General features: G+C 38.0%; 1 protein-coding gene and 1 long non-coding RNA gene across 29 annotated transcripts in view; one reads left to right on the forward strand and one right to left on the reverse strand.

Annotated features, from left to right (window-relative positions):
• CNTN4-AS2 (CNTN4 antisense RNA 2) overlaps window positions 1-361 on the reverse strand; it is a 33,833-nt gene extending 33,472 nt beyond the window's left edge. Inside the window, exon 1 of the long non-coding RNA NR_046555.1 lies at window positions 250-361. This is a non-coding gene — a long non-coding RNA (CNTN4 antisense RNA 2). The remainder of the gene's footprint in view (window positions 1-249) is intronic.
• The window catches only part of CNTN4 (contactin 4), a 959,094-nt gene that overhangs the window by 45,015 nt on the left and 890,007 nt on the right, over window positions 1-24,072 (forward strand). For 8 of the 28 annotated variants that reach the window (XM_047447535.1, XM_047447518.1, XM_047447523.1 and 5 more), the window contains one exon: window positions 55-23,471. The exons of 14 other annotated variants lie outside the window; for them this stretch is intronic. The gene's annotated coding sequence lies outside the window, so the exon portion shown is untranslated. The remainder of the gene's footprint in view (window positions 1-54; window positions 23,472-24,072) is intronic. 6 more of the 28 variants (XM_047447522.1, XM_047447524.1, XM_047447520.1 and 3 more) reach the window with 5 other exon arrangements.

Below are 24,072 nucleotides of genomic sequence, written 5' to 3' on the forward strand. Positions count from 1 at the left end.
GCTAACACAAGTTTGGTGAAATTGATTTACCATAATATTTTGGTTACTTTTTAGGGCTACTCAGATACACATACTTGAACTGTAACAGCAAATAGTGAGAGGGGAAGTAAAGATTCTGAGCCTCCTTTCTGGGTTTACAGCAATATTTTGAACTAAGAAGATGAAGTAGAATTAGACATGAGCAAAGCTCCATCCCTTTCTTCTGCAGGTGAGAAAGAAATAGAGGGTGTAGGAGGTAAGCATACCTACCTAGTAAGCCTTCATGATTTAGGTATCTGGAGCAGGTGGGACTGGAGCAATTGCCATGAAGTTCACAATTTTAGTGTGGCCTGTGATCTGTTTCTTTGGCTACAGCTTACATATCAGGCCTGGGGATTTTTCTGGATTCTGAAGGTTCTAGCTTCCAGCCTTGAAATTATTCTCCTACTTGTAGGTCAGTAAAACAAGCGTTTCTTTACTTGAAAGTTTTAAGTCGACAGTTGCCATGATAAATCACTCCCACTGATAGTGTTTTAGACTTTGTTGGTTCTACCTTACGGGATTTTCATAGAGTTTCTAAAAGAGAAAGACAAGCACTAGAGTGAAGAATTGTTCTTATTGTGGAAGAATCATCAACCTTGGCTGGACACACAGATCAAGGGGTTCAGGGATGGGTGGCAAAGGATCATTGAGAGGGTTACATGTGACCCTTGCCTAACTATAGTAGTTAATTCAACTCTGCCTACACAATGACACGGATTACCGAGGATATGACTTGTATTATACTCATCCCTCTGACCCCACATCCTAATGTTAATAATGATTCTTAAACCTGGAATTGAGAACTCAAATATAAACCAGTGCCCAGCACATAGCAAGTCATCAATTAAGTTTATTGAATTAAATTAAATATTGGAATTGTATCTGTCAAAGCCATATCAGCTCTAAGCTTCTTAAGAGAAAAATCTGCCCAGAATTTCTCAGGAGGGATTTCTCAACATCGAAGCTGTCCTGTTCATATTGGATTTATTGTACTTACATAAACAGGAATACACGAGCAGGGAAGATCAGATCAGTTACCACAATAAGGGTTTTGTACCATGATATACATCATTTTCGCTCCCCTAGGAAAGCACTGCTGATGAAAACAATTTTGGAGGGAGGTGGTCTCAACAGAGTAGATGTTCAGGTGGAGGTTATCTCTGGTGCTCTGGGCTTCTTATTCATAATTTTCTCTTATGAAAGAGAGTGGTTTTCAACTTCACAATTCCTTTGCTCATTTGGAAATATAGTAGCAGAAAGATGAAGAGAGTTTGTGACCCACAACTAAAGTCTGTGTTCTCTTGTCACTTCATCAAATTAGTTCTGGTGGCATTTGGTTCCCCCCCAGAAATAAATCACTGTTAAATGATTCTTTATAAAGCAGTCCACACATTTATCATACCACAGTGATCTGAACCCATTTAGGGAATTATAAGCTACAGTTGGTCATGTTGCAGGCCTAGCAACTCTGGCCTTGTCACATTGCATCTCTCTCCACTCCCTGTGCTACCACTAATCCTTCAGGACTGAGATTCAAGGCTTTGCTAGTAAGAGGCTTGGAAATAATCATATAAAACATAATAGTGTGGCAAGGTGAGATCGAGCTTTTAATTTTTTTAAGTTCACAGAGAGCAAGAAGACAGATAGGAAAGGACCGGCAGATTGGGAAAAATCAGGAATAAGATGAAATATCCTCAGAACTTTAGCTTTTATGATTCCACCTCACATTCAGTTTAATTATGAAATTTACTGGCAGTGACAATTGGCTTTTGGCATAAATTAATCATGCCAAGCATTATACATGAAATGAAATTTCAATCCTATTTGTTGAACATTTTCTAAGAGCTTGGCAATCTTGCCCAGCACTTTACGTAGGGTTTCTCCTTATCTACCTTATGAAATATGTTATTATTATTCCCACTTTTAATATGAGAATATTTGGGGATTAGAAGGCTTAAGTAATTTGACAAAGGTCATATGGGCTAGCATAATAGACTAGAAAACAAACTCAGGATGCTGTAATTACTACACTGGAATCATTCTTAGTTTTTTTTTTTTAAATGAAGTTGGCATTAGTTTTGTTTTTTAATCTTTAATACTTTTATCTGAGAATTGATAATTAACCATTTTAAGAAAATAGTTACATAAATTTAGAAATCATTTGGAAAACAGGTAAAATTGCTACATTATTTCAATTTATTTTATTTTTAAAATAAATGATATTTTTTATCTATATTTGAGGGCTATATGAGAACCTAAGACTTCTATTGATGTTAATTATTGACTTTTATTTACTGTAGTTTTAGTGAATAATTTAATTGACTTCTATTAATTCAGTCATCATATGCTAAACCTAGAGTAACTGCTGTTAATATTTTTTTTTTTAGCTACTACAAATTGAAGTATTTTTGATTAGAGTAAAATTTATTTCTAAAGGTAACCTGAGTAATATCTCTATGTTGTAGATAGATATTACTATCTATAGTAATATCTATGCATATAGTATCTATGTAGTAGCTTTCCAATTTATTTTGCTATTATCTAAAATAAGAAATACATTTTATATTGTTCCAGTAAATGCACACATATAAACACATATATATGAAATTGATACTTCATAAAATATTAGTTACCCTTATTATAATCAGTGCTCACTTGATATTTTACATTTTATCCCATTGTAAAATAGATACTGGTCATGACTCACAGTATTGATTTCATAACTCCCTAATGGTTGTAGCCTGCAGTTTATCATTTGTTCAAATGTAGTGTGGTGGGAAAGAAAGATGATATGACTCTTCAGACAGAGAGGTCTGGTCCCTACCCTGATATGTGTCAGTTATATGTCACCTTACCTATAAAATGGTGATTATCAGTACTTCTCAGGGGAGTTGTAAAGCCTGGTACCTAGTAGATAATTAGTAAATATCAGTTTCTTTTGTCTTTAGAGCTCACACTTCATTCCATAGTTTTTTGTTGTTGTTTTGTTTTGTTTTTTTGAGACGGAGGCTCACTCTGTCGCCCAGGCTGGAGTGCAGTCGTGATCTTGGCTCATTGCAACCTCTGCCTCCTGGGTTCAAGCGATTCTCCTGCCTCAGCCTCCCGAGTAGCTGGAACTATAGGCACTCACCACCATGCCCAGCTAATTTTTGTATTTTTAGTAGAGATGGGGTTTCATCATATTGGCCAGGATGGTCTTGATCTCTTGACCTCGTGATCCACCCACCTTGGCCTCCCAAAGTGCTGGGATTATAGGAGTGAGCCACTGTGCCTGGCCTCATTCCATAGTATTATAGAAAATGTCGAACTGTTTAAGCATTCCAGCACTTTATTTTTTAATTGTTATTATTTTTCTACCCTCAGCATGCATCAGAGGAGCATTCCAGCCCTTTAGTTTGGATTTTCTTGCTATTTCTGATTTTAACTATGTGTGTTCTTCATATCTTGGACTAAAAAATAAAAACAAATTAAAAATAGCAAAAAAAAAAATTTGCAGTAATTTTAACAGACCAACATTAAGTACTCTGGAAGCCAGACCAGAAGCTAGGGGCTCGTTAATTTTTATGTATCATCAATGGAAATGACTTTTATTTGTTAATTATTTTTTATGACCACCTATTGTAACATCTTCCAACACATATTTCCCCCTCTTTCCCGTCCTCCACTCTTTAACCTTCCTTGCCCATTTTTTGTAGAGATGCCAGTGAGGTCTTTCTCAGTCAGTGCTTCAATCCCATTATTTCCCATCTCAACAGGCTTCACTGGCTCACCATTATCTTTCATATTAGTCACAGGCTCCTCAGCCTGAATTGAGGCCTTTATGACACAATTCTAGTCTACCTTTGGAGATGTGCTTCCTTTCAGTGTCCTCTCTGTATTTCATACTTACTGCTTTGATCAGACAAGATGGCCTGTCTTTTTCCAAATGGATCTCACAATTTCCAGGCTCTGTGTATTTGCTTATGTTGTATCCTCTACCTAGAAGTCTTTTCTCCTGGTCCATCTGTCCTCATTAAAAACTCCACTCCTGTTTTCAAATTCCTTGTCTGTTTCATCGTGACTCTTCTAATTGATTCTCTTTCACTCCCACACTACTTCTATTGATGTTGATTTCTCTGAAGCTGGCTCCTAGTGCCTTTTTTCTTCTTAAGGCATGATAGTGTGTCTCAAGTTGGAATGATTTCATGGCTCCCATATGGTTGATTGGTTGTGGGACTTTATCGCTAATGATAATTCAGAAAATAGTAGTAGGACTAATTGCAATTCTGCAGATTTCACCTTAAACATATGCTGCTTCTTGGGCTGTGGAAGTTGGACACATTGAGATAAGATTATTCAGAAAAACAGCAAGGCCGGGCGCAGTGGCTCCCTCCCATAATCTCAGCACTTTGGGAGGCCTAGGTGAGAGGGTCGCTTGAGCCCAGGAGTTTGAGAGTAGCCTGGGCATTATAGGGGTACCCTGTCTCTACAGAAAATAAAAAAAAAAAATTAGCCTTGGTGGTGTGTGCCTGTAGTCCCAGCTACTCAGATGGCCGGGGTAGAAATCACTTGAGCTCAGAAGACACAGGTTGCAGTGAGCTGAGATTGCACCACTGCACTTCAGCCTGGGTGACAGAGCGAGCCCCTGTCTCAAAAAAAAAAAGAAAAGAAAAGAAAAAAATATTAGTAGGTCTAACTGTAATTTTCTAACTTCTGGTTTTAAATATACACTGTTTCTTGGGCAGTGACAGTAGGGTAAAATTACCCAGTTTGTGTAAATCTTATGAGGCTTGATAAATGGACTTAATAATTATCAGATGACGAAATTAAATGAGTCGGTGAATGTTAATGCGTCCCTCCTTCCATGTAACTAGATGCCTTGGGACAGTTCCAATATGTGGCATTTATATTGTATTATGATGTGTTAATAATGTGGATCAGAGACAAGCAAAAGTCAAGGATAAATGTAATTTCCTGTGAAATGTATATTTAATACTTTTTAACATTTAGCGGAATTACCTTTGGATGTCAATTGAACATTACATCCCCTTACTACCGTGACTGTGTGTGTGTGTGTGTGTGTGTGTGTGTTGGGGGGGTGGTGTCTAAGGAGTAAATCTATTCTCTTACTGCAATTTCAAACACTGAAGTATTATAAACTTTCTTTAATTGTATCGAGTTTTATATATTTTGTTGATTCTAAGAGTTTTTGTGTATGTGTGTGATATCAGTGAATCAGGCAAATTTCCCAGTGTGTGAAGCTTTTGGGTCAGCTATTAGGTTATTACATCATTTCAGAAATGCTCCGTCTGCCTTCTGGTGGCCTTCAGATTTGGCCAAGTAGTGGAGTAGTGCAAAGACTGCTAATATTGTAGAAATCCCGTGACCATACGCAGTGGTTTTTATTTTGTTCTAAGGGGTACACACTTCCATTTGTCTGTTTTCATGCGGAGCACATTTATATGAGGGTAAGTTCAATGGCAACTTTTAGTCTGTAGAGGGATACGTTGAGAAATATGTTACTGACCATAAATTACCAATTTGAGATGAATGCATACTTCAGAGGCCCCACTAGCTCACATTTTTACTGCTGTCCCCTAAAAGCACCTTCAGGTTTATATGCTGAAGATGGAGACCTTCATAGTTAGAAAATTGCATTCCCTCAGGCCACAGGAAATATTGCTTGACATTCTGTAACACTATTTGATGTTCTTAAAACAGCATGCTATGTAGATACTACTCTAGGTCATGTCTAATTTTTTAATCTGTATTTATAAATACTATGAAGCTTGTGGTTTTTAAGAATAGTAATGTTTACATTTATATAATTTGATGCAATGACTTTTCCCTGTAATATAAAATTAATTTAATGTTTAGTATAAAGGAAATAACCAGGTTGTATAGTTGTAGGTTGTGCAACTACAGGTTGTGTAGTTGCAGGTTGTGTAGTTGACTTGTGTATTTTCACTTCCTCATACTGACAACATAACCAGAGGCCTGACCAATGCTGGTGAAATAACCAAAAAGGTTGTCAGGCAGACCTTTGCGTTTTAATGCAAATTCAACAGGGAATGGGGTGGGCATAGCTTTTTTTTTTTTTTCTGTATTATATCAAGTAAGCTGAATATATGCAAGGTTAGAGTTTAAATGTAATGATTAGTTTTATTCATATACATTTAAAATCTAATATTCTACAAGATGCTTAGCACCATACTTGACACATTGTGAGCATTCAGTAAACTGATGTTATCCTTTAAGAAGCATTTACCACAGAGGTTAAGAGCATATGCTCTAGAGCAAAGTTGCCTAAACTATTTCTGCCTCTGTTTCATCATTTCTAATATAGGGATAGATCATTTAGTTCATAGAACACTGTTAAATCCATATAAAGCATCTATAACAGTGTTTTTAATAAGTAAAAAAAAGTCAGCTAAATATTAGTTGTTTATTAATTGTAATATATCCTAAAGCAACTTATTTCTTAACGTAGACTTCTGCACATTCTTGGAAAATTAATATCTCTTTTTTTCCTTGCAATTTTTTTGGATATTTGAAACTATAAGTATCTTCACCCAGTTGTAGGACATATGTTTTTCTATTTTCTTCCCCCTTGTTGGAGAAATCTATTTCTACGGGACAAGCTGGTTATTTGTCTACAGATCCTCCCCTGGGGATTCTGTAGCAGCTACTTCAAAGCTATCTCAGCTTGCACTTAATCATTTGAAACATCAGATAACTTGCTTGTTCATTTTATGCATGTTTTCTTATTGAGGAAATTAGTCAACCTAAAATGAGCACCAGAAGATTATTTTTCTTGGTTTTACTCTTAAAGTCATTCTCAAGCATGTTATCTTGGAAGAGCAGGGCACTCTCCTGCAGCTTTTAAGGATGACTGAACTGGAGAACATTCTGTTTAACCACAAAACTCATGTTCCCTCTGTTTAATTTCTTAAAGCTTGCCCTCCCTTCAATGCAATTACCATTTTTCTTACACATTAAGAGGACAAAATTTGTTGGCTTCCTCTTTGGGGGAGGATGTTTATTTATTTAGAAGATACTTTTTGAGTTCCTACTGGTCCACCGGGAACTATCGTAAGTAAGTTGAGGATACAGGGATGAGCAAAATGGACAAATTCTTTGTTCTCATGGACCCCACAGGAGAAGAAAGACAATAGCTAGTAAGCAAGTAATACATTTTTTTAGACAGCTAATTTTTGTATTTTTAGTAGAGATGGGGTTTTGCCATGTTGGCCGGGCTGGTCTGGAACTCCTGACCTCAAGTGATCCGCCCACCTCAGCCTCCCAAAGTGCCGGGATTACAGGCATGAGCCACTTCGCCTGGCCAACAAGTAAATATTTTTGACTATGTGGAAATATGATGAAGAAAATGATGAATAGGAAAATGGGACTAAGAGGCAAGAAGGGCGAAGCATCTATGAGGAAGTGGTATGTGGACAGAGATTTGAATGCTGACAGGGAGGCAGCTAAGAGACTCTCTGAACAAAGAAGTATCCAGGCAGAAGGAACAGCATGGGCCAGGGCTCTGGGGCCAAAACAAGCTCAGTCTGGCTGAGAAAGGGAATAAATGACTGAACACATTTCTGTAGCCTTCTATGTTCCAGGTGCTATCCAAGGTGCTTGGGATACGTCAGCCAACATATTTGCAATGTTTTGCATAGTTGTCCTCTCCAAAACTCATGTCGAAATTTAATCCCCAGTGTAGCAGAATTGAGAATTGGGGCCTTTAAGAGGTGATTAGACCCTGAGGGATCTGCCCTCAAGAATGGATTCATCCACTCATGGATTAATGGATTAATGACTAATGGACTAATGAGTTGTCATGAAAGTGGGACTGGTGGCTTTATAAGAAGAGGAAAACAGACCTGAGCTAGGACACTCAGTCATGTGACAGCCTGTGCCACCTTGGGACCCTGCTGAGAGTCCCCACCAGCAAGAAGGCCCTCACCAGATGTGGCTTCTTTATTTTGGACTTCTCAGCCTTCATAACTGTAAGAAATAAATTTCTTTTCTTTATGAATTACCCAGTTTCAGTTTATTTTGTTAACAGCAACAGGCTAAGACAATAATGCATGATTTTTTCTAAGTAAATTATGTACAATATTAACTGATCAGTGTTTTAAAAAAATGTTTGTATGCAGGGAGGTAAGAGTGCAGGAATAGGTGGGCTACAGTGTAAAACACTGAGGTCAAGGTAGGTCTCATAGAGCAGGTGGCATTTAAACAAAGTATTGAAGGAGACGGGGCAAGTTTGTCAGATGGGTATGTGGGAGAAGGAATTACCAGGCACAGGTAATAGCTAGTACAAAAGCCGTAAGGTAGCAGTAGGCCCAGCTTGTTCCAAGTGCCTCAAGAAAGCCTCTGTAACTGGAACAGAGTGAGTGAGATGAGTGAGGCGGAGAAGAGGTTAGAGAAGTGATAAGAGGTGGCATCAGGCCAGTCTTTGTAAACCACTGTCAGGACTTCCGTTTGATTGAAACGAGGTGCCGTCTGGTAGGTAGCTTTGGGGTCTAGACTGGGGAGGGGTGGAGCAAAGTTAGGAGCAGGGTGACTTGTTAGCAGAATAATGGAATAAGCCATGAGCCACACTCTGGTTGCTCTTACAGGGCCGTGGTAGAGATGATGGGACTTTGTCAGATTCTGAATATATTTAGAAGGCTTCAGAAGTGAAGTATGAGAGAAAGAAGAATCCAGGATGTGACTCCAAGTGTTTTGTCCTGAAAAAATAGAAGATTGAGATGGGAAAGACTAGTGCTGGAACAGGATTGGATGAGGTGAGGAGTGGCTGTGTAAAGCAGGAGACACCCACCGTTCCCAGGGCGTAGTTCTGTATCTGCCTTCCTGAGTTAGGCTTGGCAGTACGACTGGCTCTGGCCGGTGGGTCATGTCGATGTGAGACAAAAGCAGGGTACGGAAATGTACTCCCAGATCGGGCTCAGCCTCTTGTGATGCAGTCATTTTCATGAGAAGAGCTTTCCTGGGGCAGACGTTGCCCTCTTAGCCTGGACCCCAAGTGAATGCAAGTGACACAGAGCCACCCCAGCTAAGCCCAGCTCATCCCACATTTGGAAGGAGGGCTGCCCATGGAGCCTGCTTTAGATTACCAGACCCTACAGAATCAAGAGAATTAATAGCTACTGTTGTAAGCCAATGAGTTTGGAGGTGGTCTGTTATGCAGAAGTTTTGTGGCAATAGCTCAGTAATAGAGAATCCAGGGAGTGAAGTGAAATAGGGAGTTGGATATAGGAGTCTGGAGTTGAGAAGAAGTCTTGGTTGGAGACAAAAATGTAAGCGTCATTGGCATACCAATGGTATTTAAAACCTCAAGGCAAATGAGATCACCATGGGAGTGAATGTAGTAGAGAGGGTGACCGAAGATTGCATGACTACATCATTACAATGTCTGGAAGAAGAGGAGCAACCCATGAGGAGGAAGGAAAATGCCCTACAAATGAAATGGATGAAAACAATATCTAGGAGGAGGAAGTGACAAATGATGTCAAAGGCAACTGCCAAGAATTGGTCATTGGATGTGGTAACCTGGGGAGAATTGTTGACTTTGATAAATACAGTTTTATGGGAGTGTTGGAGGTGCAAGCCTGATTAGAGTGATTTTAAACACGAATATAGGCGGAGAGCAACTGGAGATAGAGAGCAAAGTAACTTTTTGAGGAGTTTGTGGGAAGGAGACAGAAATGAAATGAAACAATGGCCTCCTCACAAAAGGAGCGCGAAACCATGGTAAGGGTGTACTTTATTCTGAGCGGGGAGGTAGTTGAAGCGTTTAAATAATGACCTATTTGTCTTTTAGATATTGCTCTGACTGCTGTATAGAGAATGGCGTGGGGTGAAAGGGAGCAGAACAGTTATAAGGCTATTTCTGTTTCCTAGGTGAGAGAGTGTGTTGGCTTCAGCTGTAGCCCTGGAAATGTGGAAAGTCATGTGTAAATTTCACATGGGGTAATGGTATTAGGTAGACAGCAGTGTGGGATCTTTAGCTTAAGGAACTTAAAAAAGTGTTTGTGATCAAATGAAAAATCACAAATGTATATGAGAATTATGTTTTGTAACTTCTCTTTAGCTCTACCTTATCTTATATAAATCATACTGGTTTGAAGCAATATATATTGGTTACTTTATTAAAATTTACATTCTGTTATTTTTTTAAATAATTCCTGTTGTCTATGATAAAATGGATATGACTGGCCAGGCATGGTGTCTGACGCCTGTAATCCCAGCAATTTAGGAGGCCAAGGCAGGAGGATCACTTGAGGTCAAGAGTTCGAGACCAGCATGGCCAACATGGTGAAACCCCGTCTCTACAAAAAATACAAACATTAACCGGATGTGGTGGTGGGCGCCTGTAATCCCCAGCTACTCATGAAGCTGAGGCAGGAGAATTGCTTGAACCCAGGAGGTGGAGATTGCAGTGAGCCAGTCGTGCCTGCACTCCAGCCTGGGTGACAAAGTGACACTGTCTCAAAAAAAAAAAAAATAAAAGTGGATATGGTAATTTTTCTCCTTTCCAAATTATATTTTGTTCCATCCTGGATCATTCAGTCTACACTGGCGTATTTCGCTCAAGTGACATTAGAGATGGTTTCTGGCATAATATCCTTGTCTGAGTCTGTGTGCAAAATAACTTTTTTAAAAAGTGGAATAAGTTCTATGATCTGTAGTTGGGATAGGGATTAAACAACAACAGCAAAACAGACTTTTACTTCCTTAGATCTCAGATTTATATGTATAGAGAATTGGTTTTACACAAATAGTGAATAAAGTATTTTGCCAAGTGTGCTTTCAGTAGAGACTTGAATGATTGTGATCTGTTTTGCTCTTATTCCACGTTCAGAGGTTCCCATGGGAACCACTCCCAATTCGTGGGAAGAGTGGAATTTAACAAACAATACAGAAAAGCCATTTAATCATCCTCTGTGTGATCCACAAAAGTGCCAGAAATACGGAGGAAATGAAATCACTAGAATCTCTATCTGTATGGGCCTGCCCAGAGAAAAAAGTGCTGCTCATGGTAAATAGATTTGATAGATGGCAGAAAAACACCAGTGTCCTAAATCTGACAGTAACAAAAAACCTCTCCCATCATCCATCTCCTTCAGATACCTTTTCAAAATTTGTTAAGTGTTTTGTGTCCTAGAGTTTGGCATCTTGCCATTTTAATTTAACTATTTTTCCCCTGAAAGATTTGTTTCCAGAAAAAGCTTGGGATCATAATACAGTAAACCTTACACATAATCTTCTCATTATGTTCAGAAAGCTAATTTTAAACCTAATTTTCCCATCTCTGTCTCTCTCTATTCCAGTGCTTACCTGCCTGCATTAATTAATTCCTGTGCAGCAATGAAAATTTGACTCAGTTACCTGACCTCTTACCTTCTGATTGCAGAGGCTCTGTCTCTTACAGGGGTGTGGGACGCCTGGTGCCACAGGACATGTGAACACAGATTATCCGTACCTGGGAGGTGACTTTGGTGAGATCGGAGACATTGGAGTCCCCCAGGAGCAGCTCCTCAGCAGATTGGGGATAAGAACAGAGGGCACCTACAACAATCTATGTATTACAGAACACAGCTCTTTTTCTTTTGCGAACACAGCTGTTTTTCTTTTGCCTGACTTGACTGAAAACTGTTTTTAAGTGAATTAAGTGTTTTAAGTGAATTAGGTGTTTCAGCTATGTCGCCAGTGGGCACTGAATCCTAAAACAGTGATCTGGAAGGGTCTTGGTGACCATGCTATCCAAGCACCATGAGATTTGGACCTCCAAGTTGGGTTCATCTTCTCACTCTCCCCGTGCTCTCTACTGTGAAACCACATTGGTCTTCGCTTCCTCCAACACAGCTAGCTCTTGTCTGCACCAGAGTCTTTGAACTGTGGTGCGTTTTACGTGAAATACCTCCAAATGATTCTTGTTCATCCTTAAGATCTCAGAATAGATGTCATTTCCTCAGAAAGCACCACCTTCTTGACCCTCCAGCCTACAGGAGGATTCCCTGGACTGTGTTGTCATAGCACCTTTGCTTTTCCATCAAAATATTTAACATAGTTCATAAATTGTTTCATAGATGAGGGGGTGGTTAGCTCGGGTTGCTTTTTCTCTTCTCCAGTAAGAGATTTCAGAATCACTCCCCTTAGAATCATTTATATGAGGTTTTCCCCTGAGGGCAGGCCAGTGGCCTCACTGCTTCAGAAGGGGGTGTAATCAGGGTGAAGAGCAAAAATGCTTGGTATCTTTGAGGGAAAAGAAATGAAGTTTTGGAGAGCTGGTAGGTGCCAGAGCCGTTCCTGCCTCAGTGCTTCCATAACCAGCTGGGGACTTAGGAGGTGGCTGTTTGTGGGATTCAAAAAACGGAACCATGGGAACCTTGGAAGCCCAAGTGCTGGGCGTCTTCGATGAGCTTAGCATTCAGAAGAGAAATTGCGCTTCATAGGCCATGTGGGGTCTGTGCATAAACCTGTATACAGCAGAGTTCATTGCAGCAATGGTCCCGCGCCTTCCTCAGCAGCGTCCTCAAGCAGCGCCACCGTGTGGCAGCAGTAAGCAATGGCAGTGATCGGATTCCTGTCCACTCCCTGGTGTGGATGTCCTCGGCGGACTTCCTGTCCATTACGCATGTGGGACATCAAGAGATAAATCGGAAAAATAAGAAATACAACTGTATATGAAGCCCGGTTTGGAGAGGCATTTGTTTGCATAAGTCTGTAAGATCCGTTGTAGACCCTCGGTAAATGTTTGTTTTGGAGATGAGGAAATGGAGGCAGAGAGAAGGCAAGTCATTTATCACAGACAGCGTTAACTCTGGGCAGAGTTAGGATAAGAATATGTGAATCTTCTGGCCCCAGTTTTGGTAGTTCTGCAGTTGAAAGATACCATGAAGAAGGATGATGTGTATTAAGAGACCATGATCCGATCACTCTTTATGAGATTACTAAGAGCTATGGATTGCTAGGGCTATTCCTGGCTATTTGGGGAGAGGGAAGTCTGACCCTCTTGGATGCTTATTTTATCTCTGGCAACCATTTTGGGGTCATTAATATTTCTCATCTGCATGTCTGTACCTCTTCCTTCCAGTTTTCCTAATGACCTTCTTCCTTTTTGCCTGCCTCCTTGCATTTCCGTTTCGTTGGTTTACCAAATAGATTTCATTGTGAGATATGTGTGTCATTGAGTCAAATGTATCTTCACTAAAAGAGAAGTTCTGGTTCCTGTTCTGAAATTTCTGTCTTACACATTTAAAAATGGAAGAAGATATTTAAAAGTAAAATAAATTAAATAAGCACACATTAATATAATGAGATTACATAAGACCTGGTGGATAATATGTGAGACTGGGTTGAGATTGATGAGTGATGGCTTCTTAGAGGAGAAAGATTTTAAAGATATGCGATATGAAAGTAGAGGGAGGAGGTGTGCACTCCGACGAGAAATGAGACAGGTGGGGAAGTCCAGTGTACATGTGTTTACGGGGTTAGTGAGAAGAGAGTTGGCAAAAGTGTATGGGATTATTCAGAACAATCTGAGGAAAAGATATCTGGCTTAGGGAAGGAGTTCCTGGAGTCAATGGAGACTTAAGCTGTTAAAGGAAAATAAAAGTGAAAAAAATGAAAAAAACTTTGGAGTAGTTTTTGGGCTCAAAATCTCACTTTACTGTTACTATCTGGGTGACTTTGGACAAGGTATTTAAGATATGAATGTGTTTTCTCATCTACAAAAATGTGCTTTTGTGAAAATCAAGTAAAATGTCCTATGAGATGCCCTAAAACAATACTGGCCTAGAGGAGGTGTTCAATAAATGTAACTTTTACACTTTATACCAATTTCAAATTCTCATCACTAAGTTATAGTTTCAAATGAATGTTTTCAGTTTATCTTGATGTTGCTCCTGACTTCAAAATTTTCTGTTTGGATTTTCTTAGAAATTAATAATCTTTCACACATAGCTATCAAATAAATCATTGTTTTCATTTAAGAAACATGGATAAATTGGCACACACACAAAATCATTCTCAGAAATCTATCAAAACCAATTAAAGGAACCCCAAATTAGGAAGGACAATTGCATTTGTCATGAAATTAGAGTGGAGCCTCAGCCTCAAACCCTAAATTACAAAGACTAGTTTTTGAATTCAATTTAATAGAAGCTTCCAGGATTTCATACATATGTTCTTTAATTTTGCATATACTGCATATATGGGAAATGAGAATGCTTGAAGGGGCTTTTAAACCCTGGTAATTAGGACAGGGTGGCAAAGTGACACATCAAAGTTTATGTTCCAGAAATAAAAAAGAAACTTGTGACAAATGACTTACAAAGGGCGAATTTTTTCCCCAAAAGTATTAATGTAAGAAGTTTAGATATGTTTCTAAAAGTCTACCATCCCTCATTATTTGTCCATCATTATTTCAGTACAAACATACCCAATGTTTCATAAAATATATTTCATTAATAATTAAGACAGACAAGCTTTGATTTAACAATTTCTTACCATATGAATGTGGTTGTGGTCTCAACCACTGGTAAAAGAATTATGGGGGACACATTCAGCTGCTGCAATAAAGACAACCATTGTAAATGCTTACCTCTTAGATGAAAATGGTTGGGCCGGATGTCCTCCTATTGTTTGCTCTTCCACATCTGAAAAGAACGTAGACTAAATGGAGTGAATCCTCACTGATACATGGAAGTGAATATGTCCACATTGGCAGCATTCATAAACAGCAGCAGGTTTCCTTAATATGAGAATCAGAGTAGTTACAGCATAGATGAGTTTTTGAGCCTGCATAGAAAAAGTCCAGAAAACATGCAGCACGCACTGCTGGTGAGCATTAACTCACTCTTGTCATTTGGGAAAGAGAACCCATTGTTTCTAGATCTTCAATTTCTGCAGAAAAGCATGGAGTCTGTTACTCTTCATTTTTTTGTTTTGTTTGTTTTGTTTTTGGAAGAGTGAAATCTCCAGCTTTAAAAATGTTGGCAACAAATACAACATTCTTTTTAAAGCATAGTCAGTGTAAGCATCGTTGGTGGGCTAGACAGGACATACCTGTGAGCCAGATTTGACTCACAGGCTTTCAGTTTGCAGTCTCTGAGGTCTAGTGTATGAAGTTGGAATCCCGAGAGGCAGCGAGTGGGAGAAAATGAAGGCTCAGAACAAGTCAGACCTCTTGTAGCAGGCCTATAACTTCTTCCTGGAGCACCTTGACTCTCTTAGCACCATACAGGATCTGATCTGAGAGAGAGTTGTGTAAGATTGATGCTCCAGAATTATACTGTATACTTTTGACCAGAATATTTTCATTTTCAGTATGAACACATTGCTCTCTTAAGTATTTTTTGCATTTGTAAAAGAAAATAATAAGCCCCAACATATCCCTGAAGCTTACAATATCTGTGCCCCAAACTCTTCCTTATGAACTTTCTTAATATTTTAACAATATCAAAACAGAAAAAAAATTGTTAGGCATAAATTATCTACTTACTCTGACCTATATCGGGTTCTTTTTCAAGCTTTTCAAAAGGTGACACAAAAGCCAGTTCAACCTGAATATTGGAAAAGAATTGCAGGGGTCTCTGAGCATTGGGAAAGGATACAAAAGGCATCAGAAGTTTGGCTTTGAGACAGTTGCCATGAAAGGTATCTCATTTTCCTGCCCTGGAGATTTTATATTAAATGGATTATCTGTCTGTCAAGCATTTTGAGCATTCCCCTTCACTGCTTTCCCTGAGGACTATTGCAGCATCTTACCGTGTGAGGTGGGCCATATTTTTTTTTGCAGATGATTTATAGAATATGAGATATATAAGCAGCCGTTAACACATCTAGTTTTATTTTTAAAGTTATGTTTGAATGGATTATGTTTGTCCCACAATCATTTTTTAATCTGAATAATAAGGTCAATTTGACACAGCTCTTTTTTTTTTTTTAACATTTAGTTTAATCCTTTAACAAACCTTGCCCTCATTTCTGTTTAACCTTGGACCACCTGCTTTGGCTGGTTATGTAATTTGCAAATTAGAAAATGACTATTTCTTTTTTCTTGTTATTGGACTCCAAAACTCACCCAAATTCTTTTTCTTTGCTTTGTGTTTCCTCTCTGTCTTCCTAATTTCTTATGCCTGTATTAATAAAATGGCTTGAGAGATAATAGTCTAGTTAAATGCATAGTTTCCTAATTTGCTTATGGAAAAGCTAAAGTAGACTGGAAAGAACATGTTACTAAATTATAATTTTAAATTTTTTATCATTGAATGTCAGTCTCACTGTGATCCTTTTATGACTCTATAAATATGCTTTCTTTTGAATGCTGGAGGTGGAAGGCAGGTTGGCGGTCACCTGGACTAAAACCATCGTTTTACTGAAAAAGCAATTGTGAACTAAATAGGAGAGGTCTCTTGGCCAAGGTCAAACATAAGCTGGTGGCAAAATCAGGAGAGAGTCTTGTATCCTGGTTAAGAGGTATAAGGATCCAGAGTCAGACAAAACTCCATGTCCTGGATGGCCTTATATTAGTTATCTTGCTATGACTTCTGGCAAGTCAAATAACTTTTCTGAGCCTCAGTTTCAAAAATTTTAAAATGAAGATTATCATATTGCTCACTGTTATTTATAATGTGGAATAAGTGATAGATTCCACATCAACTGCGTGACATCTAACACCTAGTAAGCTCTCAGTAAGTTGTTACTGTTATTGCTGCATCTCTCATAATCATCACTCTGATCACCTGTCTATGTTTGTGTCATCACACAGCTCTAGCAATGTTTCCAAACCAAAGAAAGGGTCCCTTAAACTTCCTCAGCAAGGGCTTGGCATCTGTTGTCATTTGTTGACTGTTTCTCAGATGGTTCAGGAATGTATACGGTGCGTATTATTAAGTTTGCAGCTCCCCTTGATTTCCATTCGTCACATTTGGTCCATAAATTCAATCAATATGTATTGAACACCTTCCTTCTGTACACAAAGCTCTACTAGATCCCTAGGATACAGGGTGAACAAGAAGGTATAATCCCTCTTGCCTGGGGCTTATGTTTGGAGTTGGGAGAATAGAAGCTAAATAACTAATCATACTGTTGTTTACTTATGGTTGTGTTCAGTGGTTAAAGTTGAGTACCAAGTGCTATGAGTGAGTAAAAGAGGGGAGTCAAAGATGGAGGCTTCTCGGACAAGTAGGTCTTAGCTAGGCATGACCTAAGGTATAATTATTTTTATTTTGAAGGGATGGTATCTGAGGAGGTACAGGAAGCAGAAGTCATTGAAATTTTAGGGATGAATAGAAAGTCATTGTGGCTGAAGCAAGGGGATGCTGGAGGATAAGGGTGGAAAGGAAGGAGGGGCTGAAACATTAATTTTTAGGCCATGTTAAGTTTTCTGGGCTGCATTATAAGAAAATAAATGGAATGTTATTGAAAGGTTATACACAGAAAAATATCATCACCAGATCTTTTATAAAGATAATTTTAGTGCTTCATGAAGAACAAGTAGAGGAAGCAGAGAGAACTGCTTGGGGTCGGGGTGGCTTGTAATAGAGTGGGGGCAGTGGAGGTGGAGAGAGATCTGAGAAATACAAAGAGGTACAAGGAACCAGCCTGGTGTGTGACTGGTGTGTCAGTGGAGGCAGAGAGAGATGTCAAGAATGACTCCACTTTTGACATGAACTCCAGTCATCATGAATGTTGGAGTAAGACTGGTCCATGATCATATTTTTTTCCTGGTGAAATAAAGCACGGAGGAGTTCTGAGTTCTGGAAAAAGACCGATTGAAATGAGAGGTGAAAAGAGAACGCTAAGTACGATGAGGACAGAAGACATACTTTAAATATGTTAAGTAGTAAGAACATCAAATACTAGGAGCCAGTATAGTTAAGTTACGAATTGTGAGGTTTGTGTATGTTAGAGTTGAGGAATTCCTGTTTCTTGCTGTTTTGATGGGCACAGTGTTCTTCCACGACAGTAATCAGATAAACTACTTAGGTCAACTCAATTAATCTCTTTTAAAAGAAGCCTGGAATAATCTGCTCCGTTCTTTGACATAAATTGATTGATTAGAATGTTTGCATCCCCAAATTAAGGTAAAACCACTGCCATTTTACAGAAGGTATTGATCTTATGTCTGTTAAAATTGTATCTTTAAATTTTTTAATTTAGTTTTATTCTTTTTCAATGAGAATACAGATTTCAAACTAAATGTAGTGTAGGTGTGAATGATAATAAAATACCACATAATTTAGTGTAGTTTTCCTATACGCATTATATTCATTTCAGCGCATTATGATTTCAACTGTGTTTGTACTTGAATTACTCATTTTTGTTTATCAACATGAGGTTTCCATCTGATCCAGAATCAAATAGTTTTTATTCAGAGTTCTATTCATTTACTAAAAATAATTTCTTATGAATGTTCTCATATATGCACATGCATGCATGTTTTAAAAAGATAACAGAATCCTGTTATTGCCAAGAAATTTGGGGGTAAGACCATGGTGGCAATTTAAGCAGGTTTTGTTTTGTTTTAGTTTTGTTTTTGAGATCTTTATTTCTCCCAGCTACCTATCAAATAATATAGGAGGGAAAACTGTGTCCCACAACTGGAAAACCCATAAGGCTCCCCAGTCATCTACCTCAAATCTTGAGGAGTCTCCAGAGCTATCATTGTGCAAAGAGATGTGGGGGAGCTGTTCTGACCTGTTTATTGACTCAATAGTATGTGTCATTCAAATTTAGGGAATGGAGAAAGATGCTGTTGCCATTCTGCTGGCCATGTTACTTGTCAAAGCCCATAACCACGAATGTTTGGAGAAAATTTAAAGTTGAATATAGGAGAGAACAATAATGATATGGAAGTTTCCTGTACTACTCAGGAGGATATCACATTTATCAAATAAAAGAAACAATAAGAAAACAGGGCTGGGTGTGGTGGCTCAGGCCTGTAGTCCCAGCACTTTGGGAGGCAGAGGCGGGTGGGTGGCTTGAGTCCAGGAGTTTGTGACCAGCCTGGGCAACATAGGGAGACCCCATCTCTACAAAATATATAAAAATTAGCTGGGTGTGGTAGTGCACACGTGTAGTCACAGCTACTCTGGAGGCTGAGGTGGAAGGCTAGCTTGAAGCCAGGAGGCTGAAGTTGCAGTGAGCGAAGGTCATGCCACTGCACCCCAGCCTGAGCAGCAAAACAAGACCCTGTCTCAAATTATACTACAAGGCTATAGTTACCAAATCAGCATGGTACTGGTATAAAAATAGCCAAGTAAACCAGTGGAACAGAATAGGGAACCCAGAAATAAAGCCAAATACTCATAGCCAACTGATCTTCAACAAAGCATACAAAAGCATAAAGTGAGGAAAAGACACCTTATTCAATAAATGGTGCAGGGAAAACTGGCAAGCCACATGTAGAAGAATGAAGCTGTGTCCTCATCTCTCACCTTATACAAAAATCAACTCAAGATTCATCAAAGACTTAAATCTAAGACATGAAACCATAGAAATTCTAGAAGATACATCAGAAAAACTCTTGTAGATATTGGCTTAGGGAAAGAATTCATGACTAAGGACCCAAAAGCAAATGTAAGAAAAACCAAAATAAATAAATGAGACCTAATTAAACTAAAAAGCTTCTGCACAGCAAAAGAAATAGTCAGCAAGTAAATAGACAACCCGCAGAATGGGAGAAAATATTTGCAAACTATGCATCTGACAAAGGACTAAAATATCGAGAATCTGCAAGGAACTCAAGAAAAAAAAAACTAATAATCCCATCAAAAAGTGGGCAAAGGACATGAATAGACAATTCACAAATGGAGATACACAAACAGCCAATAAACATATGAAAAAATGCTTCACATCACTAGTTATCAGGGAAATGCAAAATAAAACCATAACGAGATATAATCTCACACAAGTCAAAATGACTGTTATTAAAAAGTCAAAAAATAATAGATATTGGCCTGAAAGTGGTGAAAAGGTAACACTTTTACACTGCTGGTGAGAATGTAAACTAGTACAACCACTGTGGAAAACAGTATGGAGATTCCTTAAGGAACTAAAAGAGAGAGCTAAGCTGTGAGGCTGCAAAGGTATAACAATGATAAAATGGACTTTGGGGATTCAGGGGAAAGGGTAGGAGGTGGATGGGGGATAAAAGACTACATGTTGGGTACAATGTACACTGCTTGGGTGATGAGTGCACCAAAATCCCAGAAATCACCACTAAAGAACTATCTGTGTAACAAGAAACCACCTGTACCCCCACAACTATTGAAATAAAAAAGAAAAAAAGGAAAGCAAAATTAAAACAAAGAAGAAAGAGAGATTGCTTGAGGAAAAAAAAAACAACAACAAAGTATACCCTTTAGTAGAGATAGTAAATATCAGAATGGATGCTACTGACCAAATTAATTAACTGGAAGGCTGAGAAAATTCGCATAACTGTAAGTAAAAAAGAGGTTTTATAAGAGAGAGGATGACGCACATAGGATAGGTCTTGGGGCTCATCTCATAACTAATAATAGGAATTTTAGAAATAGAGAACAGATGAGAGGAAGGAGGAGAACTAACAGATTACCATTTCCTCTAAGCCAAACCTAATTCTTCAAGCCTTCACATTGAATGACCTCACTACAAGCTGGTGAAGATTAATGAAAATAAAAACTTTTAGACATACCATGATGGAATTTTGAATTCCAAGGTAAAGAGAAAATGTATACAAAAGTTGACACAGAAAAACAATTAGTTACCTTCAAGGAAAAGAGAATTTGACTATTATCCAGTTTCTCATCTGCCACAGAAAATGCTAGTGGACAATGCAACATTCCTTTCAGAACTGTGAGTAAAAAGGGTTGCAATCATAGTATTCTCTCACCAGACACAGTTTGCTCATGTTTGACGGAAAAATGTGCGTTTTGATACATGAAAGGACTCAAAGTATTCTGCAAATGTACTGTTTAAAAAAAACAAAACAAAACAAAAGGAGGTAGTAGGAGGAGACTTAAGGATGTACTATAGCCAAAATGAAAATGAGTCAAAATATATCACAAATAGGTCACAATATGAGAAGGGGTGCAAGATATATGGGTCACAAATGCTGCTACAAGACTGGCCCTGGGCAGATTGCATTAATATCACCTAAGGTGGCCAGGCCTGGTGGCTCCCGCCTGTAATCGCAGCACTTTGGGAGGCTGAAGCAGGTGGATCATCTGAGGTCAGGAGGTCGAGACCAGCCTGGCCAACATGGTGAAACCCCATCTCTACTAAAAATACAAAAATTAGCTGGGTGTGATGGCGGGCTCCTGTAATCCCAGCTACTCCAGAGGCTGAGGCAGGAGAATTGCTTGAACCCAGGAGGCAGAGGTTGCAGTGAGCTGAGATCGCGCCATTGCACTCCAGCCTGGGTGACAAGAGCAAGACTGCATCTTAAAAAAAAAAAAAGACAAAACAAAAACCACCTAATGAGATTTTCTTTCCCCAGCTTTATTGAAGAATAATTGAAAAATAAAAATTGTTTACATTCAAGGTATACAACTTGATTATTTTGACATGTGTGTACATTGTGACAAGATTACCACAATCAAGTTAGTTAACATCTTCATCACCTCACATAGTTACCTTTTTTTGTTGTGGTGAGAATACTTAAGACGTACTCTCTTTGTAAATTTCAAGTATACAATACATTATTACTAACTATATTCACCATGCTGTACATTAGGTATCCAGAAATCATTCATTCATTAGGTATCCAGAAATTATTCAAAGTTTGTGCCCTTTGACCAAAACCTCCCTGTTACCCCCACACCTGCCCCCTGGTAACCACCATTCTATTTTCTGTTTCTATGGGTTCAACTCTTTTGGATTCCACATATAAGTGAGATCACGCAGTATTTTTCTTTCTGTGCCTGGCTTACTTCACTTTGCATAATAATGTCCTCTAGGCTCATTGATGTTGCAACTGGCAGAATTTTTTTTAAGACTGAAAAATGTTCAGCTGTGTGGAATATTATATTACTATTAATATTATATGCTATATTTTATATATACCACAATTGTGATGGGTGTACCACAATTTCTTCAATATCAGGGCTATTTTGAATAATGCTGTAATGAACGTGGAAGTTCATCTGTCTCTTCGAGAGAGCTATTTTATTTCTTTTGGATATATACCCAGAAGTGGAATTGCTGGGTCATATGACTGTTCTATTTTTAACTTTTTGAGGAATCTTTACTGTTTTGCATAATGGTATATTCATTATAATGCATAATGTCAATTTATATCCCCATCAACAGTGTTTAAGGGCTTCGTTTTCACCACATCCTTGCTCAACATTAGTATTCATCAGGGAAACGCAAATCAAAACCACAATGAAATCTCATCTCACACCTGTTAGGATTTTTTTTGGTTATTATCTATTATTTTTGATAATAATTATTATCAAAAAGTGAAAAGATAACAAGCAAGGGAATTCTGCCAAGGAGACTTTAAATGCTGATTCCTGGAGTCCAAAGTGAGAGATTATGAGAGTGTAAACCTGAGATAGGTCCCAGTAGTCTGTATTTTTAATAAGTTCTCCAAGTCACCTGACAGCCAAATTTGGTAACCTGAGAGTAATGAGTTCAGTAAAATATATTACAATTAAATTATTATTGATAATGTAAGTTATGAAATATTAATGAAATGGTTAAGAAAGGATCCTCAACTGCAAGGACAAAAATGCAATCATTTTTGTCTGAAAGTAAATTCTAGCTTATTTCAAGAGAATCTAGGTGCTGTGTGTATGTTGTGAATGCTGTGTAGTGTAAGGGAATCACTGAAGACTTAGAAGCTTGTAAATGCCTAGCCTTGTTCCTGAAGGGGGAGCTCTTAGAGACCGTTTAGTCATTGAGATTGATGGAGAAACATTACTTACATATGCTTATATATTTAAAGATTACCAACAGTGAAATACAAATAAGATGAATAGCTCCTTAATGGCTAGAGAATGCAAAATAACACATAAGAAAAAGAAAGCTTCGATAGTAGAGTAAAAATTTGGAAGAAAGAAACGAGAAAATATAAACAAACAACTATGAGTGATAGAATGTAGTTTGATAGTAGTAATCATTTCACTATGTATATGTATATCAAAATATTATGTTGTGTACATCAGACATAGATGTAATAAAAATAAATTTAAAAATATATATGCAAGTTACAATTAAAGTAGGTAAATTAAATCTTAAATTACAAAACATTTTTGCATTAGCTTAAGAAGGATAAACCAATTCCATGCTGTTTAAAAGAAGACTTTTTTTTTAAATGGCACAAAGTAATTGGAAAGTTTTTCACTATTATATCTGCAGCTCTTGGCATGATTGGACATATGGTTCAAAAATGATTGCCACCTCATGGAATGAATGGATGTGGAAAAGTATAACAGCCTCCTATCACAACCACAACCAAAAATAAAAAGGTAACGTGTAACAATACCATTATTACAATACACTTCAAATAATAAATAATTAGATGGCACATAGGGCTATTTTTACCAAAAAATCCACCATTAAACAAGGTATAATAGCATCAAACTTTTGTGCACTGAAGGACACACATTATGATGAATTGGAAACATAAACATTCAAGAAGAAATTAACAAAACTATTACCAGACTGGGAAATTTTAATACATCTCTCAGAATTGGACTAGTCAAAAAAATCCAAGACAAATGATGTAATATTTTCCACAATATTAAGCTCATACCAATGCTTTGATAACCATAAGCTTTTTACCTTGTCATTTAATAACATTTTAATTGTAAAATAAAGTAAATATGATGACTAAAAGTAAATGAAAACATTCGAACAAAATACTTCTTTGTTTTCACCCTGGCCCATTTTAATATGTCCACTTGGCTTCTAATAGTATATGATGTTTCCCTTTCCTCGTTTGAGAACCCCTGGTTTGAATATTACAGTTCAGTTAAGATTTATTTCAAGACCAGGCATGGTGGCTTATGCCTGTAATCCCTGAAGCAGAAGGATCACTTGAGGCTAGGCGTTCAACAGACCAAGCAA

Source organism: Homo sapiens, chromosome 3 (genome assembly GCF_000001405.40).
Source record: "Homo sapiens chromosome 3, GRCh38.p14 Primary Assembly".
In the NCBI taxonomy this organism is placed as follows: Eukaryota; Metazoa; Chordata; class Mammalia; order Primates; family Hominidae; genus Homo; species Homo sapiens.